Source organism: Homo sapiens, chromosome 2 (genome assembly GCF_000001405.40).
Source record: "Homo sapiens chromosome 2, GRCh38.p14 Primary Assembly".
NCBI lineage: Eukaryota > Metazoa > Chordata > Mammalia > Primates > Hominidae > Homo > Homo sapiens.
In genome coordinates, this window is record NC_000002.12 from 61,275,969 (window position 1) to 61,300,883 (window position 24,915).

General features: G+C 35.6%; 1 protein-coding gene across 1 annotated transcript in view, besides 2 other annotated features; it reads right to left on the reverse strand.

The window, feature by feature from the left end:
* The window catches only part of USP34 (ubiquitin specific peptidase 34), a 283,625-nt gene that overhangs the window by 88,506 nt on the left and 170,204 nt on the right, over positions 1-24,915 (reverse strand). Inside the window, exons 30-41 of the mRNA NM_014709.4 lie at positions 20,832-20,957; positions 19,200-19,322; positions 18,981-19,064; positions 17,496-17,582; positions 12,709-12,909; positions 8,907-8,989; positions 7,441-7,481; positions 7,177-7,301; positions 5,122-5,274; positions 4,276-4,380; positions 2,420-2,475; positions 2,197-2,317 (exon numbers count right to left, since the gene is read on the reverse strand). Coding sequence (NP_055524.3) covers positions 2,197-2,317; positions 2,420-2,475; positions 4,276-4,380; positions 5,122-5,274; positions 7,177-7,301; positions 7,441-7,481; positions 8,907-8,989; positions 12,709-12,909; positions 17,496-17,582; positions 18,981-19,064; positions 19,200-19,322; positions 20,832-20,957 — 1,305 coding nt within the window. The remainder of the gene's footprint in view (positions 1-2,196; positions 2,318-2,419; positions 2,476-4,275; positions 4,381-5,121; positions 5,275-7,176; positions 7,302-7,440; positions 7,482-8,906; positions 8,990-12,708; positions 12,910-17,495; positions 17,583-18,980; positions 19,065-19,199; positions 19,323-20,831; positions 20,958-24,915) is intronic.
* Positions 1,516-2,715: an enhancer, noted in NCBI's record as "MED14-independent group 3 enhancer chr2:61504619-61505818 (GRCh37/hg19 assembly coordinates)". NCBI's record gives its function as "activates an origin of replication core promoter dependent on BRD2, BRD4, P300/CBP and CDK7 cofactors, and independent of MED14, by STARR-seq in HCT116 cells {active_cell/tissue: HCT116}" and the evidence as "EXISTENCE:reporter gene assay evidence [ECO:0000049][PMID:35650434]".
* Positions 1,754-2,503: an enhancer, noted in NCBI's record as "H3K27ac hESC enhancer chr2:61504857-61505606 (GRCh37/hg19 assembly coordinates)". NCBI's record gives its function as "activates a minimal SCP1, AML or CMV promoter by ChIP-STARR-seq in primed H9 embryonic stem cells {active_cell/tissue: H9 hESC(primed)}" and the evidence as "EXISTENCE:reporter gene assay evidence [ECO:0000049][PMID:30033119]".

Sequence of the window (24,915 nt, forward strand, 5' to 3'; positions counted from 1 at the left end):
CAAATATGATATAAAGAGCTGACATATTCAAAATAAATAACTTTTACAAATGAATGGGAAACCATATACTGACTGAACAAATAAATATCAAATACAAACAATAAGTAAATGGAAAGAAACCCATTCACCAATTAACAAAGAAATAAAACTAAATCAACATCAAAATTGGCAAATATCTCAGTGACATAAGAATCTGCAGATGCTTGAAAAAGGCATTCTCATACAGTGTGGCTACAAGTGTAAAATGATGTATCCTTTTGTATACTAACATAAACTACGGATTAAAATCAACCTATTTTACTTTTAAGAGTTCTTGAGTAAATAATGGGACAAGTATGCAAAGATGCTGCCTTTACAGTTTTTTCTATAACTTCATAAATGTCAAAGATTTAAATTATTGCCTCTTAGTCAATTTTTAAAAATACATTTTCTTTTTTAATGTACTCATTTTTTAGTGAAAATCGATCACAGAATACTATTTATAAACTGTAAAATTTCTATAAATATGAATTTTATACATGCGTATTTACTGTATCCATGAAAAGTCCTGGAAGGCCATCACCATAGCATGAGAGGAAATCAAACCAAATGGGAATATTCTTTTTTTGTACTATCTAAAATTATTTTTTCTTAACAATGACTTTTGCTTTACAACGTTATCAGAAAAACCAATTAATATATTTATATTTGGGGATAAAAGTTATATACTAGTTTATATATAAGAGAAGACTTCAATCAACAAGGCTGTAAATCTATCAAATCATTTCCAGTGAGTCTAATGGAAAAGGCAAAAAACCTGAAAGAAATAGCACAAGAAGGAGTTTTGTGCATTAGGGGAAGTAGCAAAGATTTCAAACAGATAAGACTGTAATCTTAAGTTGATCTCAAGAATCCTTTAGTCTATGCCTATGAGGACAATCTTCTATCCTTTTGGTTGCTATTTCCTAACACATTCAGTAACTTTAAGGTAACAGCTCTCCAGACCATAACAAATTCCTACAATGACCAGGACAAATGCACCAATGTTAAGGTAAGATGAACTATTTAATCAAGAGACAATCAAAATGAGACATTTGTTGGTTCAGAGTCACGAAGTGTTTCCAATATTCAGAGATAGATTTCATGTCACACAGGTCTTTAAAATATGAAACGAGTACCCAATAATGACTACTTACTAATTCCACTGTATTAGGATATGATTCACAGTTTAGGACAGTAATTCAAAATATACAATTCTATAGAAAGCACACTGATAAAATATAGGTTACCTTTTTTTTTTTTTTTTTGAGACACGTTCTCCTTCTGTCACCTAGGCTACAGTGCAGTGGTGTGATCATGGCTCACTGAAGCCTCGACCTCCTGAGCTCAAGCAATCCTCCCACCTCAGCCTCCTGAGTAGCTGAGACTACAGGTGTGTGCCACCACACCCAGCAAATTTTTGTATTTTCTGTAGGGATGAGGTTTCACCATGTTGCCTTGGCTGGTCTCGAACTCCTGGTTTCAAGCAATCCACCTACCTCAGCCACTCAAAGTGCTAGGACTATAGGCACGAGCCACCGTGCCCAGCCTTAGGTTACCTTTCTATATTCAGTCAGTCACAGGAATTAACATCTGATTTTGTATTCTAAAAACAAGCCCGTTTTATATTTCCAGAATTCAATTTATTCAAAATTTGCTTTTCTTGTCGGTAATTTCTAGCAATTTTTATGTCTGTATGTTTAAAAAAATTAACATATCCACATACAATGTGATACAGTTTGGCCGTGTCTCCACCCAAATCTCATCTTGAATTATATTGCCTATAATTCCCATTGTTGTGGGAGGGACCTGGTGGGAGATGACTGAATCATGGCGGCGGTTTCCCCCATACTGTTCTTGTGATAAGTGAATAAGTCTCTTGAGATCTGATGGTTTTATAAGGAGAAACCGCTTTCGCTTGGTTCTCATTCTTTTTTTGCCTGCCGCCATCCACATAAGATGCGACTTGCTCGGACTTGCCCGGACTTGCCTTCCGGCACGATTGTGAGGCCTCCCCAGCCACATGGAACTCTGAGTCGAATTAAACCCTTTTCTTTTGTAAACTGCCCAGTCTCGGGTATGCCTTTATGAGCAGTGTAAAAACGGACTAATACACAATGTAACAACAAAAAATTTCAATCACATTTCATAGAAACATTTGATTATCTTAACACTTACCTGTCCTTCCCTTGAAAATTTAAAGGGTGGTTTGTGTTTAACAACACTTGTTGCAAGCCTTAGGAGTCCTGTAAGCCCATCATCTTCTACATTACCATCCTGATGATCAAGGATCTCCCTACTACAAAAAAGAAAAAAAATACACACAAGCAAGATAGTTCACATAATTATGTCTTTTATCTTTCCTCGACAATATAAATGTCAATTTCACATCAAATTTTACCTTCGAATACAGTCAGCCAAATGTCTTGCCAAGGCATCTAAGTCGAGGAGCGTTGTCTTAATACAAAAAGAAAATAAAAATTCAAATATAAATTTTTTATGTTTTACCAAACATAAAATTATTAAAATCATTTCCTTATAGGTAACAATAATTTAGTTCTCCCAAATTCAATAAGTTATAAACGTAATACACCTACTCTTTACTTATACATTATGTCAATTAACCAAATGAGTCTTAAACATCACTGATCATTCTACAAAAAAACAATCAATGGAATGTTGATAATAAAATAAGTCAATGACGATTTAATGGGTACAGCACACCAACATGGCACATGTATACATATGTAACAAACCTTCACGTTGTGCACATGTACCCTAAAACTTAAAGTATAATAAAAAAAAAAGTCATAGTAATCTATTAAGACACTGAAGTTTTTTTTAATGACTTTATTGAGATGTAATTCACACACAATTCACCGTTTGTTTTAAATAATACCTTTAAATTAGACTTTTAACAATAAACTAAATTCTACAGTTCATTCCAAAAAAACTTTACTTCTCGTTATAACTAAACAACAACATTAAAACAGACTTCACAAAATCTAACTTGAGTCCCCTCAAAGAAACCCAAATCTCTAAAAAGGAAAATTACTTTACAAGCAAGCAAGATCAGATTCCTATTTTAGCTCAAATGGGCAAGCCCAGGTTGTTTTTTTTTTTTAAAGTACAATGTTTATTTGGCATCAATATTTTAATTAACAATAAGTATATTAAAACTTGCTCAATACTAATTTTTGTAATTATTTCTCAAATGAAAAGTAGATTTTAAGAATTCAGATGTTAACTAAAAAGCAAAAAGTATAAACACCACAGAACTTTTAAATGTAAAGTGAACATATTGAACTTTGATTTAAATACATTTAAAAGTTTAAGAAAAACGTGTCCTAAATATTTCAAAGGATCTTCTTTATGTGTTTCTCATTTTCTTCTGAATTGACAACTTAGACACATTTTAGTCGACTAAATTTATGTACACTGGAAAAAACGCAAGTCTTTAAGTGGCAAGATTTGCTTTGAAATTTACTTTTTTTTTGAGACGGAGTTTCACTCTGTCGCCAGGCTAGAGTGCAGGGGCGTGATCTCAGCTCACTGACTGCAACCTCTGCCTCCCGGGTTCAAGCGATTCTGCCTCAGCCCTCCTGAGTAGCTAGGACTACAGGCACCTGTGACTATGCCCAGCTAATTTTTGCATTTTTAGTAGAGATGGGGTTTCACCATGTTGGCCAAGATGGTCTCCATCTTTTGACCTTGTGATCCGCCCGCCTCGGCCTCCCAAAGTGCTGGGATTACAGGCGTGAGCCACTGCACCTGGCCTGAAATTTACTTGTTTTAAACATTACTTTGTTTGAATGGAAATGTCATTTTAGTCCAGTATAAGAAAATTAGATATGCAAAAACTGACAGTGTTTCTTTAAAGTAACTTCTATCTGAACTGCAATTTTATTTTACGTATTTGGGACTCCAAACTACATGCTATTATAGAAAGCTGTATTTTTAAATTTAAAATCTACATTTCCCTTTCCAAATAAGATGTTACATCCACGTATCTTACTGAGAAGAGACAGGAAATTATGGATAGATACCAGATGAAGACGTTTCAACTAAGGTCTGAGTAAAAACACGAAAGGAATTAGAAGAAGGTGGAAAAGCACAAATATAGTAGAAATAGGACACCACCACCAAGTTATAGATTAATGAAGTACACTTAATAACCAATAAAGTCATGAACATATGTCATAATTCATATTAACAAGAAGAGAATACATAGAATAGTATATAATTTTCTGAACATACCTGACTAGCGTCCTTTATATGTATGTTGTCAACTAATTTGCATAACAACCAAAAATACTCTTTACATCCTGGTTTTAATATTGGTTCTTCCTCATAATCATCTATCTATTAAAAAAATTTTATACTTTGTGAAAACATTTTAAAAATAAATAAAATTATAATACATTTAAGAAACTAGAGGCTTTATGAAATAAATTCCTATATCCACTAAACAGTATTCAAAATCTTTTTAAAAATGGAGTACACGCTTAGTTTCTGTAAAATCAGAATAACCAGGCAAAAAAATGACAAACGTAAGAACTTTTAGGAAAATATTAGTCTCAAATTACTGACATTAAAAAAGATATGAACAGGGAGGAAAATAATGTAAATCCAACAACACACTGAATTTCTGGGGTTAGTAAAAAGTGGGCTCTAAATTTATTATGTATTAGAAGCCTTTTAAAGACTAGTATATGAACTAGGGTAGGAAATAAAATTTAAAATTCTGAATATCATAAAGATAAAAAGAAAACTGTGACTTACTAGAGAAGAGAGCTCCATTTATGATTTTTTATTAGTCAACTTATTAACACAAGGCCCAGAACCGAGTGAGAATAAATGCTATTTCTAAAATAGAGTATCCATGAGAGACCACAGAGCTGAAATCAGTCTCTTCCTAGTAGTAACATGGACACAATGTGTCACAATGCTGTCACCTTAAGTAGTATATAACTACTATCCTCTTGGTAAAAAATCACATACAGTAGTCAAATGATCAAAATTTTAAGGATATATTACAACGGTAAACTGAGGCAAAGGAAATTTCAAAAATAGAAACTGCTTCTAAACACAGTAAAATCTTACCCTAATAGGTTTGAGTGCTTGAGCATCAGGAAGAAATTTCAATAATGTTGAGGCAGCCAATAGCAGAAAAGAACGATTGATTGAGTCTCCTCCATCCAGCCCTGACAGGGATAACTTATAGAGACCACTGCATGATTCATGACGAACTGCAGTCTAGATGAAAAAGAAAGTTCCACAAACAGTGAGAGTTAGTATTACAAAGTTAATATGTTAGCAGAAATAATTTTAGGTGATTTTAAATACAATGTTCTGCCGGGCAAGCCTGTAATCCCAGCACTTTTGGAGGCCCAGGCAGGAGGATAACCTGTGGCCAGGTATCTGAGACCAGCCTGGCCAACATGGCAAAACCCTGTCACCACAAAAAATACAAAAATTAACCGGGTGTGGTGACTTGCGCCTGTAGTCCCAGCTACTCTGGAGACAGGCACAAGAATTGCTTGAACCAGGGAGGCAGAGTCTGCAGTGAGCTGATATGCCACTGCTCTCCAGACTGGGTGGCAGAACAAGATTATGCCTCATAAAAATAATTAATAAATATAATGTTCTAATCCCATACATATATATATGTAAATTACACATGATCAAATAAAGTATCTCAAGGTATACCATAATATATAAATACAGTGTTTTAGAAATCCTAAAGCATGGCCATAAAAACAGAAACAAAACAAAATAATGACAACAGGTAAATACAAAGAATAATTGAGTAAGGACATTTAGAATCATTTAAGTTATTTACAAGTCAGTAAGAGGATAAAATATTTTCAGAACTAGAAGCAACACAGAAGCAACTTCAATCGGAATATTCTATAGATTGTAAGCAAACTGTCCAAATGTCAAAATGGTTACCTGAGACAGGACTAGAACACAAATGACATTATATCCAGAACTAATTTTGTTTTGTTTTGTTTTGTTTTTAAGACAGAGTCTTGCTCTGTCTTCCAGGCTGGAGTGCAGTGGTGCGATCTTGGCTCACTGCAACCTCTGCCTCCTGGGTTCAAGCGATTCTCCTGCCTCAGCCTCCCGAGTAACTGAGATTACAGGTGCCTGCCACCATACCCAGCTAATTTTTTGTATTTTTAGTAGGGATAGGGTTTCACCATGTTGGCCAGGCTGGTCTTGCATTCCTGACCTCATGTGATCCACCCACCTCGGCCTGTGATTACAGGCGTGAGCCACAGTGCCCAGCCAGAGCTAATATTATTAGACAACGCAGGTTTAAAAAATAAGTGACTTTGGAGCTAAATATATTACTGTGTGTTTCTATTATTTCACATAGGAATATGAGGTGAGTAATGCCAAGATACAGCTAATAAAAATTATATTGGCCTCAGTGTCAACATGGGAAGCAAAATATATTTCTTTTATTTATTTGTAGTCTCTCTAGCCTCTATTTCTACTTAAATAGAAAACACAGGCTGGGTGCAGCGGCTCATGCCTATAATCCCAAGCAGTTTGGGAGGCCGAGGCAGGAGCATTACATGACACCAGGAGTTCAAGACCAACCTGGACAACACAGCGAGACCCCGTCTCTACAAAAAAGTTAAAAAACTAGCTGGGCATGGTGATGTGCACCTATGGTCCCAGCTACTTGGGAGGCTGAAGCCAGAGGATCGCTTGTTCCCAGGAGGTTGAGGCTGCAGGGAGCCTTGATTGCACCACTACACTCTAGCCTGGGTGATACAGGGAACAGGGAGATTCTGTCTCAAAGAAAGAAAAAAAAAAGGCCACAGAACTTTTCTAAAACATAAATTACCAAAATAAATTCTCAAGCCCTTCCTACTACCTGGAAAAACTTTTTTTTATTAATCCAAAGCAAAATAATCATTCTATAAACATTTCAGAAAAATATAAATGCTACATAATATATAATAGTCAGAAGTTCTTAAACATTGTACATAGTTCAAAACACTCTAGACCTTAAAGGATTAAGCAGATAATGTGATATATTTATGGACTCACGCATATTTGTTTCCATTAGCTCTTTTATTATCAATGCTAATAACATGAAAACATACAAAAAATAACAGTACTAACCTTCAATCTTTATCTTACCTCAGGAATAAGGAGAGTCAATTTCTTTAGCCAATCTTGTAAATGATCGCTATCAGCAAGGCTAGATTTCACTAAAGAACAGCAATGAGCCCAACTCACCAAGAGCCACATTGAATAATGTGAAACTAAAGAAAAATTAGAAAACAGTTCACTATAAAAGGTTTGTGCTAAAATGAAAACACAATGTTCAATATTAAAGGTAAAATATATCAATATATTATTCAAGTTTTTATTTATTAAAAGTTAACTTTGTGGAACCCTTACCTTCATGTCTAGACCTGTGATCAGACTGAGCTTTTAAAACTCTGTAAAGTAAAAACACCACCACCACCAATTAAATTCAGCAATGAATTAAAAATAATTCAATTTATTAACATATATCCTTTAAGGTTATCACTTCCCCCCCAAAAAAGGAAAGCAGTGGGTGTGTGAGTGAGAGTGAGAGTGAGAGTGAGAGAGAGTGTGAGTGTGTGTGTGTTTTAAAAGACAGGAGACAGGGTCTCACTCTGTTGCCCAGGCTGGAGTGCAGTGGCATGATCATGGCTCACTGCAGCCTTGACCTTCCAGGCTCAAGCAACCCTCCCACCTCAGCCTCCCAATAGCTGGGACTACAAGCATGTGCCACCACACTCAGCTAATTTTTGCAAAAGAGACTATATTTTAAGAGAGCTCCATTATTTATTTGTTTTATATTCTTTATCATTTATTTAAAGACTCACTGAAGAAGAGTCAAACTCATTGAAGAAGAGAGTAGAATAATGGTTACCAGAGGCTGGAGGGTGGGGTAGGGTAGGGTGGGGTGGGGCAGAGGGTATAAGTCAAAGGGTATGAAGTTCCAGATAGAGCAGGAAGTTTTGAAATCTATTACACAGCAGGGTGTCTAGTCAATAAAAATATATTGTATGTTTCAAAATAAAAAACAAACCAAATAAAAGAATCACTGGTAAAATCTTATTACAGCAAATACGAAATGACTTCAGATTTAATAAACAAAATTTGAATGAATAAAACATTGACTGAAATAAGTAAACCCTCAAGAAGTGCTCATGATTTAGTTACTAAAGAGATGTGTGTGACAAACACATAGGTTATAATGATTTAGAGTCTAAACTTTAAGACTCCTTTAAAAAATACATAATCTGAATCTAATCATGAAGGCTAATCATGAAAACTCAAACTGAAAAGTACTCTATAAAATAACTGGCCTGCATTACTTGAAAATGTATCATGAGAGAAAGGCTGAGAAAGTTATCTCTGATGAAAAGAAACAGAAGAACTGACAACTAAATGCAATACATTTAGTTGATCCTGAAGCAAGAAAAATACTGCTATAAAGAATACCAATAGGATTATTTTAATATGAACTATATGTTAGATAACATATCAATGTTAAATTCTATAAATTTAAAAATTTTACTCTAGCTATTAAGAAAATCTCCTTGGTCTTAGGAGATACACAACAAAGTACTGGTGAACAGTCATGATATCTGCAATTCAGTCTCAGAAGATTCAGGAAAACATGTAAACACACAGAAAATACGTGACTCATAAATACAAGACACATTTTAGCAACAGGTTAATAATACGTAAATTTGGATGGAAGGTATGAGAGATTTCATCATAATATCCCCCAAATTTTTCTATTAAGTTTAGAATTTTTCAAAATAAAGTTTTAAAACATTATATTCCTGCTATACATACACACATAAAATATATCTTAAAATGCATACCTAGGAGCCAGATTATCATACGTATAAGCAACAGACATAAGTCGCTGAATCAAACTGGTTCCTTGGACAAGAACAAGAAATACCTTTAAAACAAAAACATTTTAAAAGATATTTAAATACAGCAAAAGGAAAACCCTCAAAAAGCACTCAAGATTTAGTTACTAAAGAGATGTGTATTACAAAATTTTAACCCAAAATTCCAAATTATTTTGATATTTATCTATAACACAATAAAGAATGTCGTAAGAATTCTTTGAAAATACTGTAAAAATGCCAAGAATCGGAAAACCAGAATTTTATAATCACACTTAAGAGCAGCAACTGTAGGCTGGGTATGGTGGCTCACTGTAATTGCTGTAATCCCAGCAATTAGGGAGGCTCAGGTGGGTGGATTGCTTGAGCCCAGAAATCCGACACTAGCTGGCCAATGTGGTAAAACTCTGTTTCCACTAAAAATACAAAAATTAGCTGGGTGTGTGGTGCATGTCTACAGTCCCATCTACTTTGGAGGCTGAGAAGGGAGGAACACCTGAGTCTGGGAGGCAGTGGCTGCAGTGAGCTGAGATTGTGCCACTGCACTCCAGCCTGAACAACAAAATGAGAATCTGTCTCAAAAAAAAAAAAAAAAAAGTAAGAAAAGAAAAGAAAAAGAAAAGAAATTACTAAGAATTTAGAAATAGGGGCAAAAATAGTCTTTACATTCGATTCATAGATTCTCTGCATACCACTGAACTGGGGGAAAGAAATATATACATGTCAGTGGTTTCTTGGGAAGGGGTTGGTGAATAATTAAACATGTTTTTACTTTTGAAGAAAATATATTTAAAAAAACATCAAGTAGTAATAGATTCCTCAACCATCCTGAAATAAGAATTAAAAAGCAATATAATATACCACGGGTAGAGAGCATGGATTCTAGATTCAAAATCCTGAGGTTCAACATTCAGCTTCAGGCTACATGATCCTAATATATTTGGAATTCCTCAGTTCTAGTTCTTCCTCATATAAGGGGAGAAAATAATTCACTAACAATGAATTATTAAATTTATTCTGCAGGTTGGAAGGCATTCTGTGCACATACTTCCTAAGGCACTGTTTCTGCACTGGGGCAGGCAGCCACAGAAAACATGGTTAACACAAGTATATACAATGTGCAAATAAGCAAAAGAAGGGAGCAGGAACTAAACCTGTCCCTGGCAGAAGTGAGAAAACTTCCAGAAAAATTGATGTTTAGGCTAAATTTTGCAAGTAACTTTTTAAAATGCTATTAAAAAGATCACACGGAAAAATGATGGTAAACTCTTAAATAAGTTAGTGTTCTTCCTTACTACCTACAGTATATCAACATTAGATGACTCTGTCTTCAGTATTAACGCAACAGAAATTTTTATTTCCATAGATCTGAGATATACATACTAAGCTGGAATTATTTTGGGAAATAAACTCATGCAAAAACTATATAATATACACCTTTTCTAAAATTAAAAAAAAATAACATTGGCCCAGAGCGGTGGCTCACACCTATAATCCCAGCACTTTGGGAGGCCGAGGCAGGAGGATCACTTGAGGTCAGGAGTTTGAGATCAGCCTGTCCAAGATGGCAAAACCCCGTCTCTATGAAAAATACAAAAATTAGCCACGCATGGTGGCGTGTGCCTGTAATCCCAGCTACCTGGAGGCTGAGGTAGTAAAACCGCTTGAACACGGGAGGCAGAGGTTGCAGTGAGCCGAGATGGCGCCAGTGCACTTCAGCTTGGGCAACAGAGCTAGGCTCCGTCTCAAAAAAAAACCCCAAACCACTGGCATGTGCATAGAAAAAAATCTCTGAAAAGATAACACGAAAAGATATTAAGAGTAGTCACCTATGACTAGGGAAAAAGTTCGCTTGTGTATTATGAATTTTCAATAAGCTTGTAGTTGCATATTATTTTTAAACACAAACCAATAACCTATAAACCTCCATAAACGTGCGTATTTTACACATACACTTATGTATATTTATATTATTAAAATCTCAAAAGGAAATTGCCAATAAAGGTCAATAAACATTGGAATTATTTAGTGAGTGATGGAAAGGATCACAATTAGAGCATTATTATAACCTGGAAAGTTTATTCTGAAAAAAACATGACCAAAACATTATAGTAATGTAAGGTTACTAAAGTGGTAGTTCACAACACAGTACATTGCAGAATACATTCAGATTATATTGTACTCTGCATATATTTCGTTTTATTAGATGTAAATGATTTGGAATACTGACAGAGATCATTTTTCCCATTTAACCCCCAAAATTCCAAAAAGGAAATCTGCTTCAGGTTTCCATTTATACCAGTACTTTCTAACCTTATGTCCGTCACAATCTATCAGTAACAATTCATTACTTTGATGTTTCTTGGGTAGACACGAGGTGAGGTTCTCAAAAGGTTACAAAATGAGATCTCCCTAAAATCTCACCTTGATCACTCCCTACCTCCCGACTCACTGACGGAGATGTTGGAAAGGCAAATATTTGATTACAGAATCCACAATCAAAAAGATTCTATTTTTATTGCTCGATGTCCTGGTTAATACAGTTGACCCTTGAACAACACAGGTCTGAACTGCACAGATCCACTTGTATCTGGGTTTTCTCCCAACTCTGGCACTCCTAAGGCAGCAAGGCCAACCCCTCACCTTCCTCCTCCTCTTCTACTTCCTGATCAATGTGAAGACCATGAGGATGAAGACCTTTATGATGACCCATTTCCACTTGAAGAACAGTAAATATATTTTCTCTTATGATTTTCTTAACACTTTCTTTTCTCTAGCTTACTTTAAGAATACAGTATATAATAGTATTAACATACAAAATATGCATTCACCAACTGTTTGTTATTGGTAAGGCTTCTGGTTAATAGCAGGCTATCAGTAGTTAAGTTCTAGGGGAGTCAAAAGTTATATACAGATTTTTGACTGTATGGAGGGTCAGCATCCTTAACTCCTCTATTTTTCAAGGGCCAACCATATTTTCTTTCATCTCCAAATCCACCCTTTTATACACTTGTTCTATTATGCTAGGGCAAATATATCAAAAACCAAATTCCTCCTTTGCCAGGTGGCTTCCTATTAGGTTCTGCCAGTCTAGGATACTTGAGAGACTCCTCCTTTCTTTCTTCTGTCAGCATTTATCTAAAAGTATTTACCTAGAAGACAGAGTTTGTTTCAGCCTTCAGCTTTTTTAGGCACTCCTAGCACCAGCTTTATCAGGTCCCCTCTGATAATCTTATAGCAGATGAGCATAAGAGCGTAACTGCTTTCTCAGAGGCCTAAACCCCGGTTTAACAGGATCCCTCCTGCAAGCTTCTAAGTTCCTGATAACCCAACCACTTCCCTAATGTTCCACAAGATCTAGGGGTGATAAATGGCTCCTTATCTGGCTTACCTCACCACTCCCTTTTGTTTTTAAAGCCTTGTAACACATACGTGTAAAACTGATTCTCTATTTTAAATTTCCTATGTTGAAATACCAACTATGGCTTCTGTTTTCATAAATGCATCCCCAAAGTATATAAATTACTGAGTTCAAATAATAAATTCAGTCTCACAGATATTAAAATGGCACGACTCATTTCTGCATTCTGGATGATGAAATGAAAAGCAATACTGCTTCATAATCACTACTGCTTTAAAACAATGCCGTCAGTTCAGCTGTCAGGTTAAGTCACAGTAATCTAGAATACATTTCTTAAGCATTAGCATATTTCTTCAGTTTATAAAAATAAATGGAATTCATCATTAAACATTAATTTCTGCACTTTACCTCTGTTAATCGTGGTATATGAAGACCCTTAGCATGATCACCAGCAGCCTTCCTTGATTTGCCAGGCCAGGTTCTTTTCCTATGGCTTTCCGCTATACCAGACCAGGCAAAGACATCATGATAAGCTAAATCCAAATCGGATGGATCTACTGCAAACTGGCATATTAACTTCAGCAAGCAAGCAAGACAGTCTAGCTGCCACTGTAAATGAGAAGAAATAGTCAATTCCCTATTTTCATTAATTTAGAATGGCCACAATACAATTTTGAAATTAAAAGACCAGAAAATAAAAATAATTATAGCTAGTACTTAATCATGTACTATAAAAATTCTGCTGCTCAAATATTATGGTCAGTACCAATTCAATCTTATAAAAATGAAGAAAAAGTATCTAGAAATAAAGAGGGTATACAAGATGTATTTAATGAAATGGAAATGACACTTTCATTTCTTTAATGAAGGCAATATAAAAATATATGTAATAGCTATGAGATTTTTGAAAAAACATACTGCTCATAATTTATAATTTTTTAAAAAATTAAGATGACAAGGATATTACTTATCAATAAAATTAACTGAGAAACAAAGTATTATATGCTGTGTCTCCCAACGAGTGGCACAAACTCTTAATACTTACGGACCAAAGCAATTGCTAGTAATTCTAGAAAATAATTCAACTGAAACTCTTGCACTTTCCATAACCACATTAAAAATAAATTTATTTTATTTAAAAAGTTGTTTTAAATATTGTTTAGTATGTATAAAAAATAAAATTTACAGCTGACTGGAAGCTCAATTTTAATAACAGTTCACTTTCTTTAATTAGAATATCACTTATGTACAAGATGAGAGTTTCACAGCTTTTTCTTCAAAAGTTCTTAACCTCCTGCTCTCCTGATTCCACTGCCAAATATATTCCTACACAAACATACCAGAAAGAAATGGTACTTTCTTCCTGCAATAATACCTATACTATATTACTGAACCGAAAGAAAGACAGCAAGATAATTCAGAGAGAAAAAAAGTCTTTTCAACAAATTGGTGCTATAAAAACCAAATAGCCGTATGAAGAAGGAAAAAAATTCAATATTGCATACACAAAACTCAAAATGTATTGTTACAGATCTAAACGTAAAAGAAAAGACTATAAAACTTACAGAAAGCAGAGGAGAAAAGTCTTTGTGACCTTGGTACAAATATTTGTAGACTGGATACAAATTTCATTAAAATTAAAACCTCTCCCCTAAAAGATGCTGTCAGTATAATGAAAAAGTAAGCCACAGCATGTGTGGGGGGCTTGTCCCCATACACACATCAGAGAAAGACTTCTCCATAATATTTAAGGGAAAAGACCATCTCACAACTATATACTAAGACATTTCACAAAAGAAGATAAACACACAATCAACAAACACACAACATAATGCTAAACATCATTAGCAATGAAGGAAGGACAAGTGAAGCCACCGTGAGCTAACACTACTATACCCATTAGAATAGCTCAAATTTTAAAACCCTGTTCATATCAACTTCTGGCAAGGATGTGGAGTAAATGAAATTCTCGTATGTTGCATAGTATAACTGTTCTGAAAAACAGTTTGGCATCTTCTTATAAGGTTAATCTTACACTTACCATATTATTTAGCAATTTCATCACTTGGTATTAATCCAAGAGATAAAAACATACATATACCAAATGACCTGTATGTGAATGTTTACAGAAACTTTATTTTAACAACCCAAAACTGTAAGCCACTCAAATGTCAATAGGTGAGCAGATAAATGAACCGTGGTATACCTATACAACGAATATATTACTCAGCGATGAAAAACATTTAACAACCTCAAAAAGCATTCTGAATAAAAGAAGCCAGATACAAAATGGTACATATTGCACTGATCCAATTACATGAAATTTTATAAAATGAAAATCTCATCTATTGTAACACAAAGTGGAGGAAGAAAAATTAATAGCAAAACTGCAGGACGGAACTTCTTAAGTAATGGAAATATTCTTTGTTTGGATGTTAGAGCGTTACATAAACATTTTTCAAAACTCACTCTTTAAAATGAGTGCATTATTTATTACATGAAAAGTATACTGCAACCTCACATCATATGCAAAAATTAACTTAAAATGGACCAAAGACCTAAAAAAGTGAGAGCTAAAACCAGAAACCTCTTAACAGAAAACATAGTCATCAATCTCTGTGTAAGGGGATTAGGTAACGGTTTTGTAGATACAACATCAAAAGGACAAGCACAAAGGAAAACAGAGACACTAGACTTCATCAAAATTACAAATTTTTGTAAATCACAGGGTGCTCTCAAGAAAGGGAAAAAGGCAACCCATAGAACGGGAGAAAATATTTGTAAATCACATGCACTGTAAGGAATCAGTATCTGAAATACATAAGGAATTCTAACAAATCAACAAAAAGACAACCCAATTAAAAGTGGGCAATGGATGTGAATTGACATTACTCCAAAGATAAACAAGTGGCCAATAAGCACATGGAAAGATGTTCAACCTCATTAGTCACCAAGGAAATGCAAATCAAAACCACAACTAGGTACCACTTTACACACTAGGATAGCTAAAATAAAAGAGACACTAACAAGTCTTGGAAAGGATGTGGAGAAACTGGAACCCTCACACATTGCTGGTAGAAATGTAAAATGTTGCAGCTTTGGTAAACTGTTTGGAAATTCCTCAAAAAGTTAGAAGTTACCACAGGACCCAGAAACTGCACTCTATACCCAAGGCACAACTGTTTATAACAACATTATTGATAATAGCCCCAAACTGGAAACGATGCAGATGTTCACCGACTGATCAATCTTCCACTCCCTGGATTCAGCTGTGACTGAACAAACATTTCACCAAAGATTTATGAATGAATGTGTTTGTGTGTGCATATATATGTGTACACACACACATACATGCATACATGCTTATGAATGGTCAACAGACACATGAAAAGCTGCTCAAGATTCTTAGCATTGGGAAAATGTAAATGCTAGAAATCACAATAAAATACCACTTAAGTATTGGCAAGGTATACCACTCCTAAGCATATGCCAAAAAGAAGTGAAAATGTATTATCTATGCATAAACTCATAAACAAATGCTCACAACAGTCACAGTGTAGAAATAACCCAAATGCTTCTCAATTGGTGAATGGATAAACATGTAATATAATTATAAAAAAATGAATTATTGATACTTGCTACTTCCAAGGATGAATCTCGAAAATAGGCTAAGTGAAAGAAACCAGTCACGATGGACCATATATTGTATGGTTCCATTTATAGGAAATGTCCAGAATGGGCAAATCCACAGAAACAGAAAGGAGACTATAATGATGGTTGCCTAGGGCTAAAGCGTTTAGGGGGAGGTTTCTTTTGAAGGGATACAACTGTTCTGGAATTAGATGCTGGTCATAGTCCCACAACTTTGTGAATATAGTAAAAACAGTACATTTTGGAGGAGTACATTGATTGCATGTTAACTATATTTCAAAAAAAGTTTTAAAGGTATACTTCAACTAAACTCATTTGAAAAGGAAAAAAAAAATAAGAAACAAGAACAATCCTGAACTTAGAAGTATTTCATAATATTAAGAGAGATGCACTATAAACAGGAAATACCAGTTGACCTGAAAGCAATTTCTATCTTAGACATGCTTTGCATCTTGGGCATTATAAAGCTACAATAAGCCACATATTGGCAATAAAATGTTACTAGTAATACTTCAGGAAAGTATTCATAATTTCAAGAAAAACAAACAGAGAAAACCTTTAGTACGGGGGTGTCCAATCTTTTGGCTTCCCTGGCCACACTGGAAGAACAACTGTCTTGGCCCACATGTAAAATACACTAACACTGACGATAGCTGATGAGCTAACAAATTTAGACATAAGATTACTTGATGTCAAATCATTATACCTGACTCCTAGGTTCAAAGGCAATTCAAAAAAAGCAAAACAAAACAAAACAAAAAACCACAGGAACTAAGAAAATACTTGAATTCAATGTTTGATAATGCTAAACTGCTTTGATGGAAGAAAATGGAATGTCCTTTACAATGAGCTTGAAACTGGCCTGGGCAGTTTTGTATATCATTATTAAGATTTAAATATTCTATAAGCAATTTTATTTTCATATAGTACTTCTTCAAATCACGGTGGTAAAGTTAACATTTTTTAAAATTTCCATTTTTTTATGCAAGTTCACAGAAAAAAAAATTCCATTTTGTTGAGGACCAATACTTTTGTAAAGTATTATAAAATACAGCAACAATGTCTAATTGCTATAAAAATTTCTAGAGGCTTACTCTCAATTTCTATATCCATCTCAATGTAAGCCAGTCAACATGGTCTGGAAACACGTTTTTAATTATTACTACTATAAAGGAAGAAATGATCACAACAAAATAAAACAAAAAAAGTTTTTTGAAAAAACTAAGATGTAAACCAAATTTTTAAAAAGCAACCAAACTTTATATAAATATTAATATATAATTTATCAACCTAAAGGAAACATGTTTATGAACTGGCCAGAGTTTAGAGTAATTAATTTTATCAGAAGAATTTTTTAATACTGATAACATGAAAAACACTTATTCCTAATTAGTTTATCAAACTGTATTTTTAAATTCATTTCTGCTATATTCCATACTTTATTATAAGGAACTATATGGCAAAAGCTATACTTGCTGATGAAATGGAAGTATTTCAAATGGGATAACTACTGTAACTAGTTGAAACCATAAATATGCACTTACCACAGTCCATGATTCCTGCTCTTTAGGCTCTAGAATTCCAGAATTAAAAATTTCTAATAACTGTTGAAGCCCTCCAGCAGCAACAAACTGTAGGCAATTGTGAAAGTAATAGTAAGAGAAAAGCAGATATATAATGCAATAATGCTTGTTGATTCAGTAACTGGATATGTAAAATATTACGTATCTTTTATTTACACTACTATTCATTTAAATTACCAAAATAATTTCTAGACAAAATAATAAGATAAAGGCTACTTTCAAGAATTTAAGGGTGGGTGCAATGGTTCATGCCTGTAATCCTAGAACTTTGGGAGGCCAAAGCCAGACGATGGCTTGAGGTTAGGACTTTGAGACCAGCCTAGACAACATAGGAAGACCTCATCTCTACAAAAAATAAAAAAATTGGCCGGGTATGGTGGCTGGTGCCTATAGTTTCAGCTACTAGGGAGGCTGAGGCAGGAGGATCACTCGAACCCAGGAGGTCAAGGCTGCAGTCAGCCATGATCATGCCACTGCAATCCAGCCTGGGTGACAAGGTGAGACCCTGTCCTAAACAAAACAAAATAAAACAAACAAGAATTTAAAAAAATATACACTTGAGGCCAGGCGCGGTGGCTCACGCCTGTAATCCCAGCACTTTGGGAGGCCGAGGCGGGTGGATCACGAGGTCAGCAGATCAAGACCATCCTGGCTAACATGGTGAAACCCCGTCTCTATTAAAAATACAAAAAAATTAGCCGGGTGTGGTGGCGGGCGCCTGTAGTACCAGCTACTCCAGAGGCTGAGGCAGGAGAATCGCGTGAACCTGGGAGGCGGAGCTTGCAGCAAGCAGAGATCGCGCTGCTGCAATCCAGCCTGGGTGACAGAGCGAGACTCCATTTCAAAAAAAAAAAATTTATACACACACACACGAAAAAGCCTATAAACATCTTTCTATTCCATTAGCCATTTAGTCCTAGACACTGGGATGTCCTCACAGTATCTTTTTTTTGCTGCCCAGGCTGGAGTGCTGTGGTGCGATCTCAGCTCACTGCAACCTCCACCTCCTGGGTTCAAGTGATTCTCCTGCCTCAGCCACCTGGGTAGCTGGGATTATGGGCAGCATGCTACCACACCCAGCTCATTTTTGCATTTTTAGTAGAGACACGGGTTTTACCATGTTGGCCAGGCTGATCTCAAACTCCTGACCTCAAGTGATCCATCCGTCTCAGCCTCCCAAAGGGCTGGATCACAGGCGTGAGCCACCATGCCAGGACTCTCACAGTATTTCAATAGAGGGAAAATCAGAGCTAAAAGCAGGAGCACCAAGGCATTAAATAATCTCAGTTTACGTTATTGCAACTTAAAGTAATACATGATTTTTAAACTATGCTTTATTTTAATAGTATATTAGTTTAAAATCAATGAAGAATTATGGTACCCACTTTTGAAAAACTGAAGATAAATTATTTTTATCAATACATTGAAAAACACATATGATCAAACCTTGCAACTCCAGGAATTTTTACTATTTTCCACTTGATCTTCACTTGAATCATCTGAATCTGGATAAAGATCACTGTAACTTCCCTATGAGAAAGGCAAAAAAAGTAAGGCAGAATGGCGGAAGAAAGAATTATTATAGAATGGAAAAGACAATACATTATAGAATTTTGCTCCAGAGAGAATACAAACATTTAATGATAATAATGGAAATGCAATTACCGTAGACTCCCTCCTTATTCTTCTATTAGGTTTTCCCAGTGCTTCAATAATTTCCAGAGCATACAATAGCTTGTGGGCGCTCTTAATTTTGAGAAGTTCTTTCCAATTAAATCCATCATTACTCTTAAATTAGAAAAACATGTTTCTCAAGCCAACTTACTCAGGGAACACAAAAAAGAAAAACTTTAAACAAACTGACACTACATAAAAACTCAAAATATTATATATACTTTGAAACATATTAAAACATATGAAGACTAGGTATATAACTGGCACAAATGGTATGCTTAAAACATCAATTATGCATTAAATTTTCTGAAAATAAACCCAATAAAATTCATATACAAACAGCAGCATGGGAAAATAATTAACTGTTAATCTTCCCAATTAAAAGAAGAAACAACATTGTGATCTAGTTGAGTGGGTAAACTTCTAAAGATGGTGATGAATTAAATGTCTGTACTTAATAGTTACAACTATATATTTAAAAGTCATACAAATATATGAACTCAGGAACACTGCTGTTTTCTACTGTCAATTCATGAAATAATGTAATTCACACTTAATGTGCATCTTTGAAATGCTATTACTAGTGCTACTGTAAGTCATCATTTGGCATTTTGAAGAGCCCATCTTCTTCACTTCCAAGTCTTGTGAGATATTGGCTCTCCCAAAATCACATGATAATGTTCCAAATCCTAGAATTAGTATAACATTAGGACATTTATTTTTTCATTCATCCTGTAGAGTTCTTTCGGAGATGTCCTCAAATAAACTACTTATTATACAAATTTTAAAAACAATCTTTAAGCCAGGAGCAGTGGCTCATGCCTATAATCCCAGCATTTTGGGAGGCTGAGATGGGCAGATCATTTGAAGTCAGGAGTTATAGATCAACTTGGCCAAAACGGTGAAACCCTGTCTCTACTAAAAATACAAAAATGAGCCAGGCATGGTGCACACGCCTATGGTCTCAGCTACTGGGGAAGGTTGGGGGAGGAAGGATCACTTGAGCCCTCGTGGTTGTGGTTGCAGTGAGCTGAGACCACACCACTGTACTCCAGCCTGGGTAACAGAGTTATACCTTATCTCAAAAATAAATAAATAAATAAATAAATTAAAACAGTCTTTAATGTTAAAGACTTTACAAAGATACCCAACACACATGTGAGGTGGTGTCCATATGGAAAAAAAATTATCACACAGATATTAAATTTATTTGCCTCATTTTCTCCAATTTGGTCAGTTAATTTGTATAAGCACACAAAACAAACACTGATGCACATCATTTCACCTCTGTGTATTTTCTCTAAACATTACTTTTTGTTACTAAGAACAAAAAACAATATTAAAAGCATACTGTAATATGAAAAAACACTAATATAAAATGTCAATAATTTTAGAAAACATCTTCATCTTACATTTAGCCTCTGATACATTATTCACCCATTATTCACCCTCACTAAATAAACAAATGAACATTAAAATGCAGTGGCACTTTTTACCTACTATATGGGTAAAAACTATATTCAGATTTACTGAGGGTACATCAACAGGCAATCTTCTACACTGTCAATAGGAATGTAAACTGGTAACAGCCTCTAGGAGAGTAAAGAGATTTTGTGGGCTCACCTGCTCATCTGAGATATTCTGGAATGCCATCAACATATTAGGACATGTAGGAAGAAGCATCAGTAGCTCCCAGACCCGCCTAGACAGATTTTCTGCATGAAGATGAAGTTCTTCACATCGTAAGCTCTACACAAATAAGAACAACTACTTTATCAAAACAGATCAGAAAAGAAAAAGTTTTAAGTTCAAATTTTTGCATAAAGTAATGATCAAATTTGCTAATAGTTTTTAGCCTCACTTTTTGAAAAGTGAGAAATGAAACATTTGTTATATGATACATATTTGAGAAAATTAATAGCCAAGCAGTGTTTTTTCAACTTCTTACTGAACATTTTTCTAGAAAAGCTTTCCTCTAAGACTGATCATGTTCCTCATGAAACTTTTCAAATAAAAGTGAAAACATCTGTTTAAAGGCCAGAAAATTCTAACAAATTTCAATATGACAATCATCTATTTCCATTTTGCAGGTCACTATTCTAAGCACAATAAAGACTGGGTGAATTAAATCCTTGAACTTCCATTTAGGAAAAGAGCCTGTTTCTCTTATGTTGCTAATCTAAACCTCATTTTCCAGTCTCAGATGAACAGACGTTAAGAAGAAAGCAAACAATTTTAGAGACCTATTTTTTTCCATTATCATTTGTTAAATCTTGCTAAGTTCCAAAACTTGCTAAGGCAAGAGTAAGCTAAACAACGTTTCAAAAACCACTTAGGAAATAGGCAATTAAACAAAAATTTAAAGTACCACCCTGAGAGGTAAAAAGAGTAAAAACTAAAATTGACAGTTTTGGTATTTTCCACGGAGTATAAATTTATTACTACTGCTACTATCACAGTGATTCTTTGGTATAACATGGTCTAGGGATATTCTATAAGCCTATAAAAAGAAACTTAGTTCTTTTGGTATAATGGCAGAAACATGGTGCACTTTGGTGGCAAGAAAATCTTTATTTTTTTTTTGAGATGGAGTTTCGCTCTTGTAGCCCAGGCTGGAGTGCAATGGCACGATCTCAGCTCACTGCAACCTCCGCCTCCCGGGTTCAAGCAATTCTCCAATGTCAAGGAAATCTTAGAAAGTTTCAAGGTAAATTTGGTCTTTCACAAGCTTGATGAACAAAGAGAAGCAACCCTCGAGTAACACTTGCGCTATACTTGAGGAAATGGCACTCAGTTCTTCAATAAAACAACTCATCATTCCGTTGTAAATAACCATTAAAAAGAGAAATATTGAATTCTATGCAAAAAAGGATTAGAAGGAAAAATATCTTCAAAGTGTGCATAAGTATGTTCTGCAATGACTGAAAGTCTCATGAGACATACACAGTAAAGATACTTTATTTTTACTTTTTTGTGTAACTCTCATCAGGGCCAAACCTATCTTATTCAGCAAAAAATCCCTGTTATCAACCTGCCAAAAATAAGATTCAATAAAATATCTGCAGCTGGGTGCAGTGGCTCCCACCTGTAATCCTAGCACTTTGGGAGGCAGAGGTGGGCGGATCACAAGGTCAGGAGATCAAGACCATGCTGGCTAACAGAGTGAAACCCTGTCTCTACAAAAATACAAAAAAAAAAAAAAAAAAAAAAAACTAGCTGGGCGTGGTGGCGTGCGCCTGTAGTCCCAGCTACTCAGGAGGCTGAGGCAGGAGAATGACTTGAACCTGGGAGGCGGAGGTTGCAGTGAGCCGATAACTTGTCACTGCACTCCAGCCTGGAGGACAGAGTGAGACTCTGTCTCAAAAAAAAAAAAAAAAAAAAAAAAAAAAAAAAAAATCTGCTGAAACAATGAAATGCTTTCCCTTTGGTTTAAGTCTCACTACTCAGACTAACGTAACAGCCTATTAACATAACAGCCCAGGATCTCTTATCACTGGTCCTGGTTTTCTCTACTACATCCTCCACACAAACATCTAAATTTTGTTTCTAAAAGCCCAGAAAAGAGCTCATTTTGCTGCTTAAAACCAGCCATAATGATGGATTAAAAAAAAAAAATCATTTAGGTCCTTTTGCGATACAAGTTACAGTCTACCTTTCTGTCCTAGTATTTAAATTACACTATGCTAGTATTCCCAGGTCCTCAAACATGGCATTTGCTTTCTTATTGAGGAAAATCTGTAATGCTTTTCTCTTCACTCTTAACAGTAGCTGGACCCAATTTGAACAACTCCTCTTTTGAAAAAACCTTCTGCAAATTTTTGTCCCCCTCCTCACATTATTCCCCTAATACATGGAACAGAACACCAGCACTAGGTGAGAAAACAGAGGTTTCATGGGCACCTATTAATGATTATTCTGCTTGAAAAAACAATGGGTATTTCTTGGGAATTTAAGAATGTACCATCACGTGAGAAACTGAGGTATAAGAAACAGAAGGCTCAATGGCAGCCCACTGCATCCATTATCAAACACATCATGGAAACGGGAAGAAGTCACTTAACAATCTTGGGGAAGAAAGAAAAGCATACTAGCCTAACACAGGGAAAACTATCAAAATACCACCATTTTACCTGCCTCTCAATCTCAAAATTGTGATTCACTGCATAAGCTACATGAATACATGAAAAGGTCTTAGAATAAGCCCATTTAAAGGCATTGTTTTAAAAGTTAGTGGATTGAATATGGCTCCTTTAGGTGATATCACACATACTCTTGCCTCTGAATGCCATCTTCAGGCTGGGCACAGCAGCTTATGCCTACGATCCCAGCACTTTAGGAGGCTGAGGTGGGAGGATCGCTTGAAGCCAGGAGTTTGAAACCAACCTGGGCAACATAGAGAGACCATGTCTACAAAATATTAAAAAATTAGCCAGGCACATTGGCATGCACCTGGAGTTCCACCTATTCAGGACGCTGAGGCAGCAGGATCACTTGAACCTGAGAGATCAAGGCTACAACTGAGCTACGATCATACCACTGCACTGCAGCCTGGGTGACACACTGAGACCATGTCTCACAAAAATAAAAATAATAATAAAATAAATGGCATCTTTATAGTGATAACCCACAAACCATTTTTCTAGACTATACCTTTTCCTCTGAGCTCCATACTTATATATCCAAGTGATTACCTGACATCTCTATTTGATGTTCCTCAGGCATCTATCTATCCTTCAGCTCAAATGGAATCCACCCAGTTGCACAGGCCAGAAACCCAGTGCCATTTCTGTCTTCCTTCTCCTCTTCATTCCCTACTCCTAAAACCCAAACCACCACCAAGTGATGTTGTTTTGACCTGTTGTCGATTTATTTCCACTGCTGCCATCCTATTTCAGGGCAACTTGTTCCTGGACTCGTATATCAAATGCTTTACTGACTTTGTTACTTTCTCCAAAGAAACTTATTAGGTATAAAACAAAAATCAGAACATGTGTTTATCCTCTGTTTAAAATCTTTTAATGTTGTCCACTTTGAGTAAAATGGAAATGACTCACGATGACGCAAAAGGTTTACATTATTTCGCTCTGCCTACCTTTCCAATTTCATTCCTCCCATTCTACTCTCCCATCCTCTTCCCCATTCTCCTTTCTAGCTAGCACACGGCACCATGCCCAGCTAATTTTTGTATTTTTAGTAGAGACGGGGTTTCACCATGTTGGTCAGGCTGCTCTTGAACTCCTGACCTCGTGATCTGCCCATCTCAGCCTCCCAAAGTGCTGGGATCACAGGCGTGAGCCACCGCCCCGGCCCAATTTTACTACTCTTAAAAGATTACTGAGGGCCAGGCACGGTGGCTCATGCCTGTAATCCCAGCACTTTGGGAGGCTGACATGGGTGGATCATGAGGTCAGGAGTTCAAGACCAGCCTGACCAACACAGTGAAACCCCATCTCTACTAGAAATGCAAAAATTAGCCAGGTGTGGTTGCACACGCCGGTAATCCCAGCTACTTGGGAGGCTGAGGCAGGAGAATGGCATGAACCCGGGAGGTGGAGCTTGCAGTGAGATGAGATTGCACCACTGCACTCCAGCCTGGTCAACAGAGTGAGATGCCGTCTCAAAAAAAGAAAACAAAAAAAAAATGAACAAAAAAAAAAAAGGAGAGAAAATTATTATATACTTTATAACGTTTTATAAACTATACTTT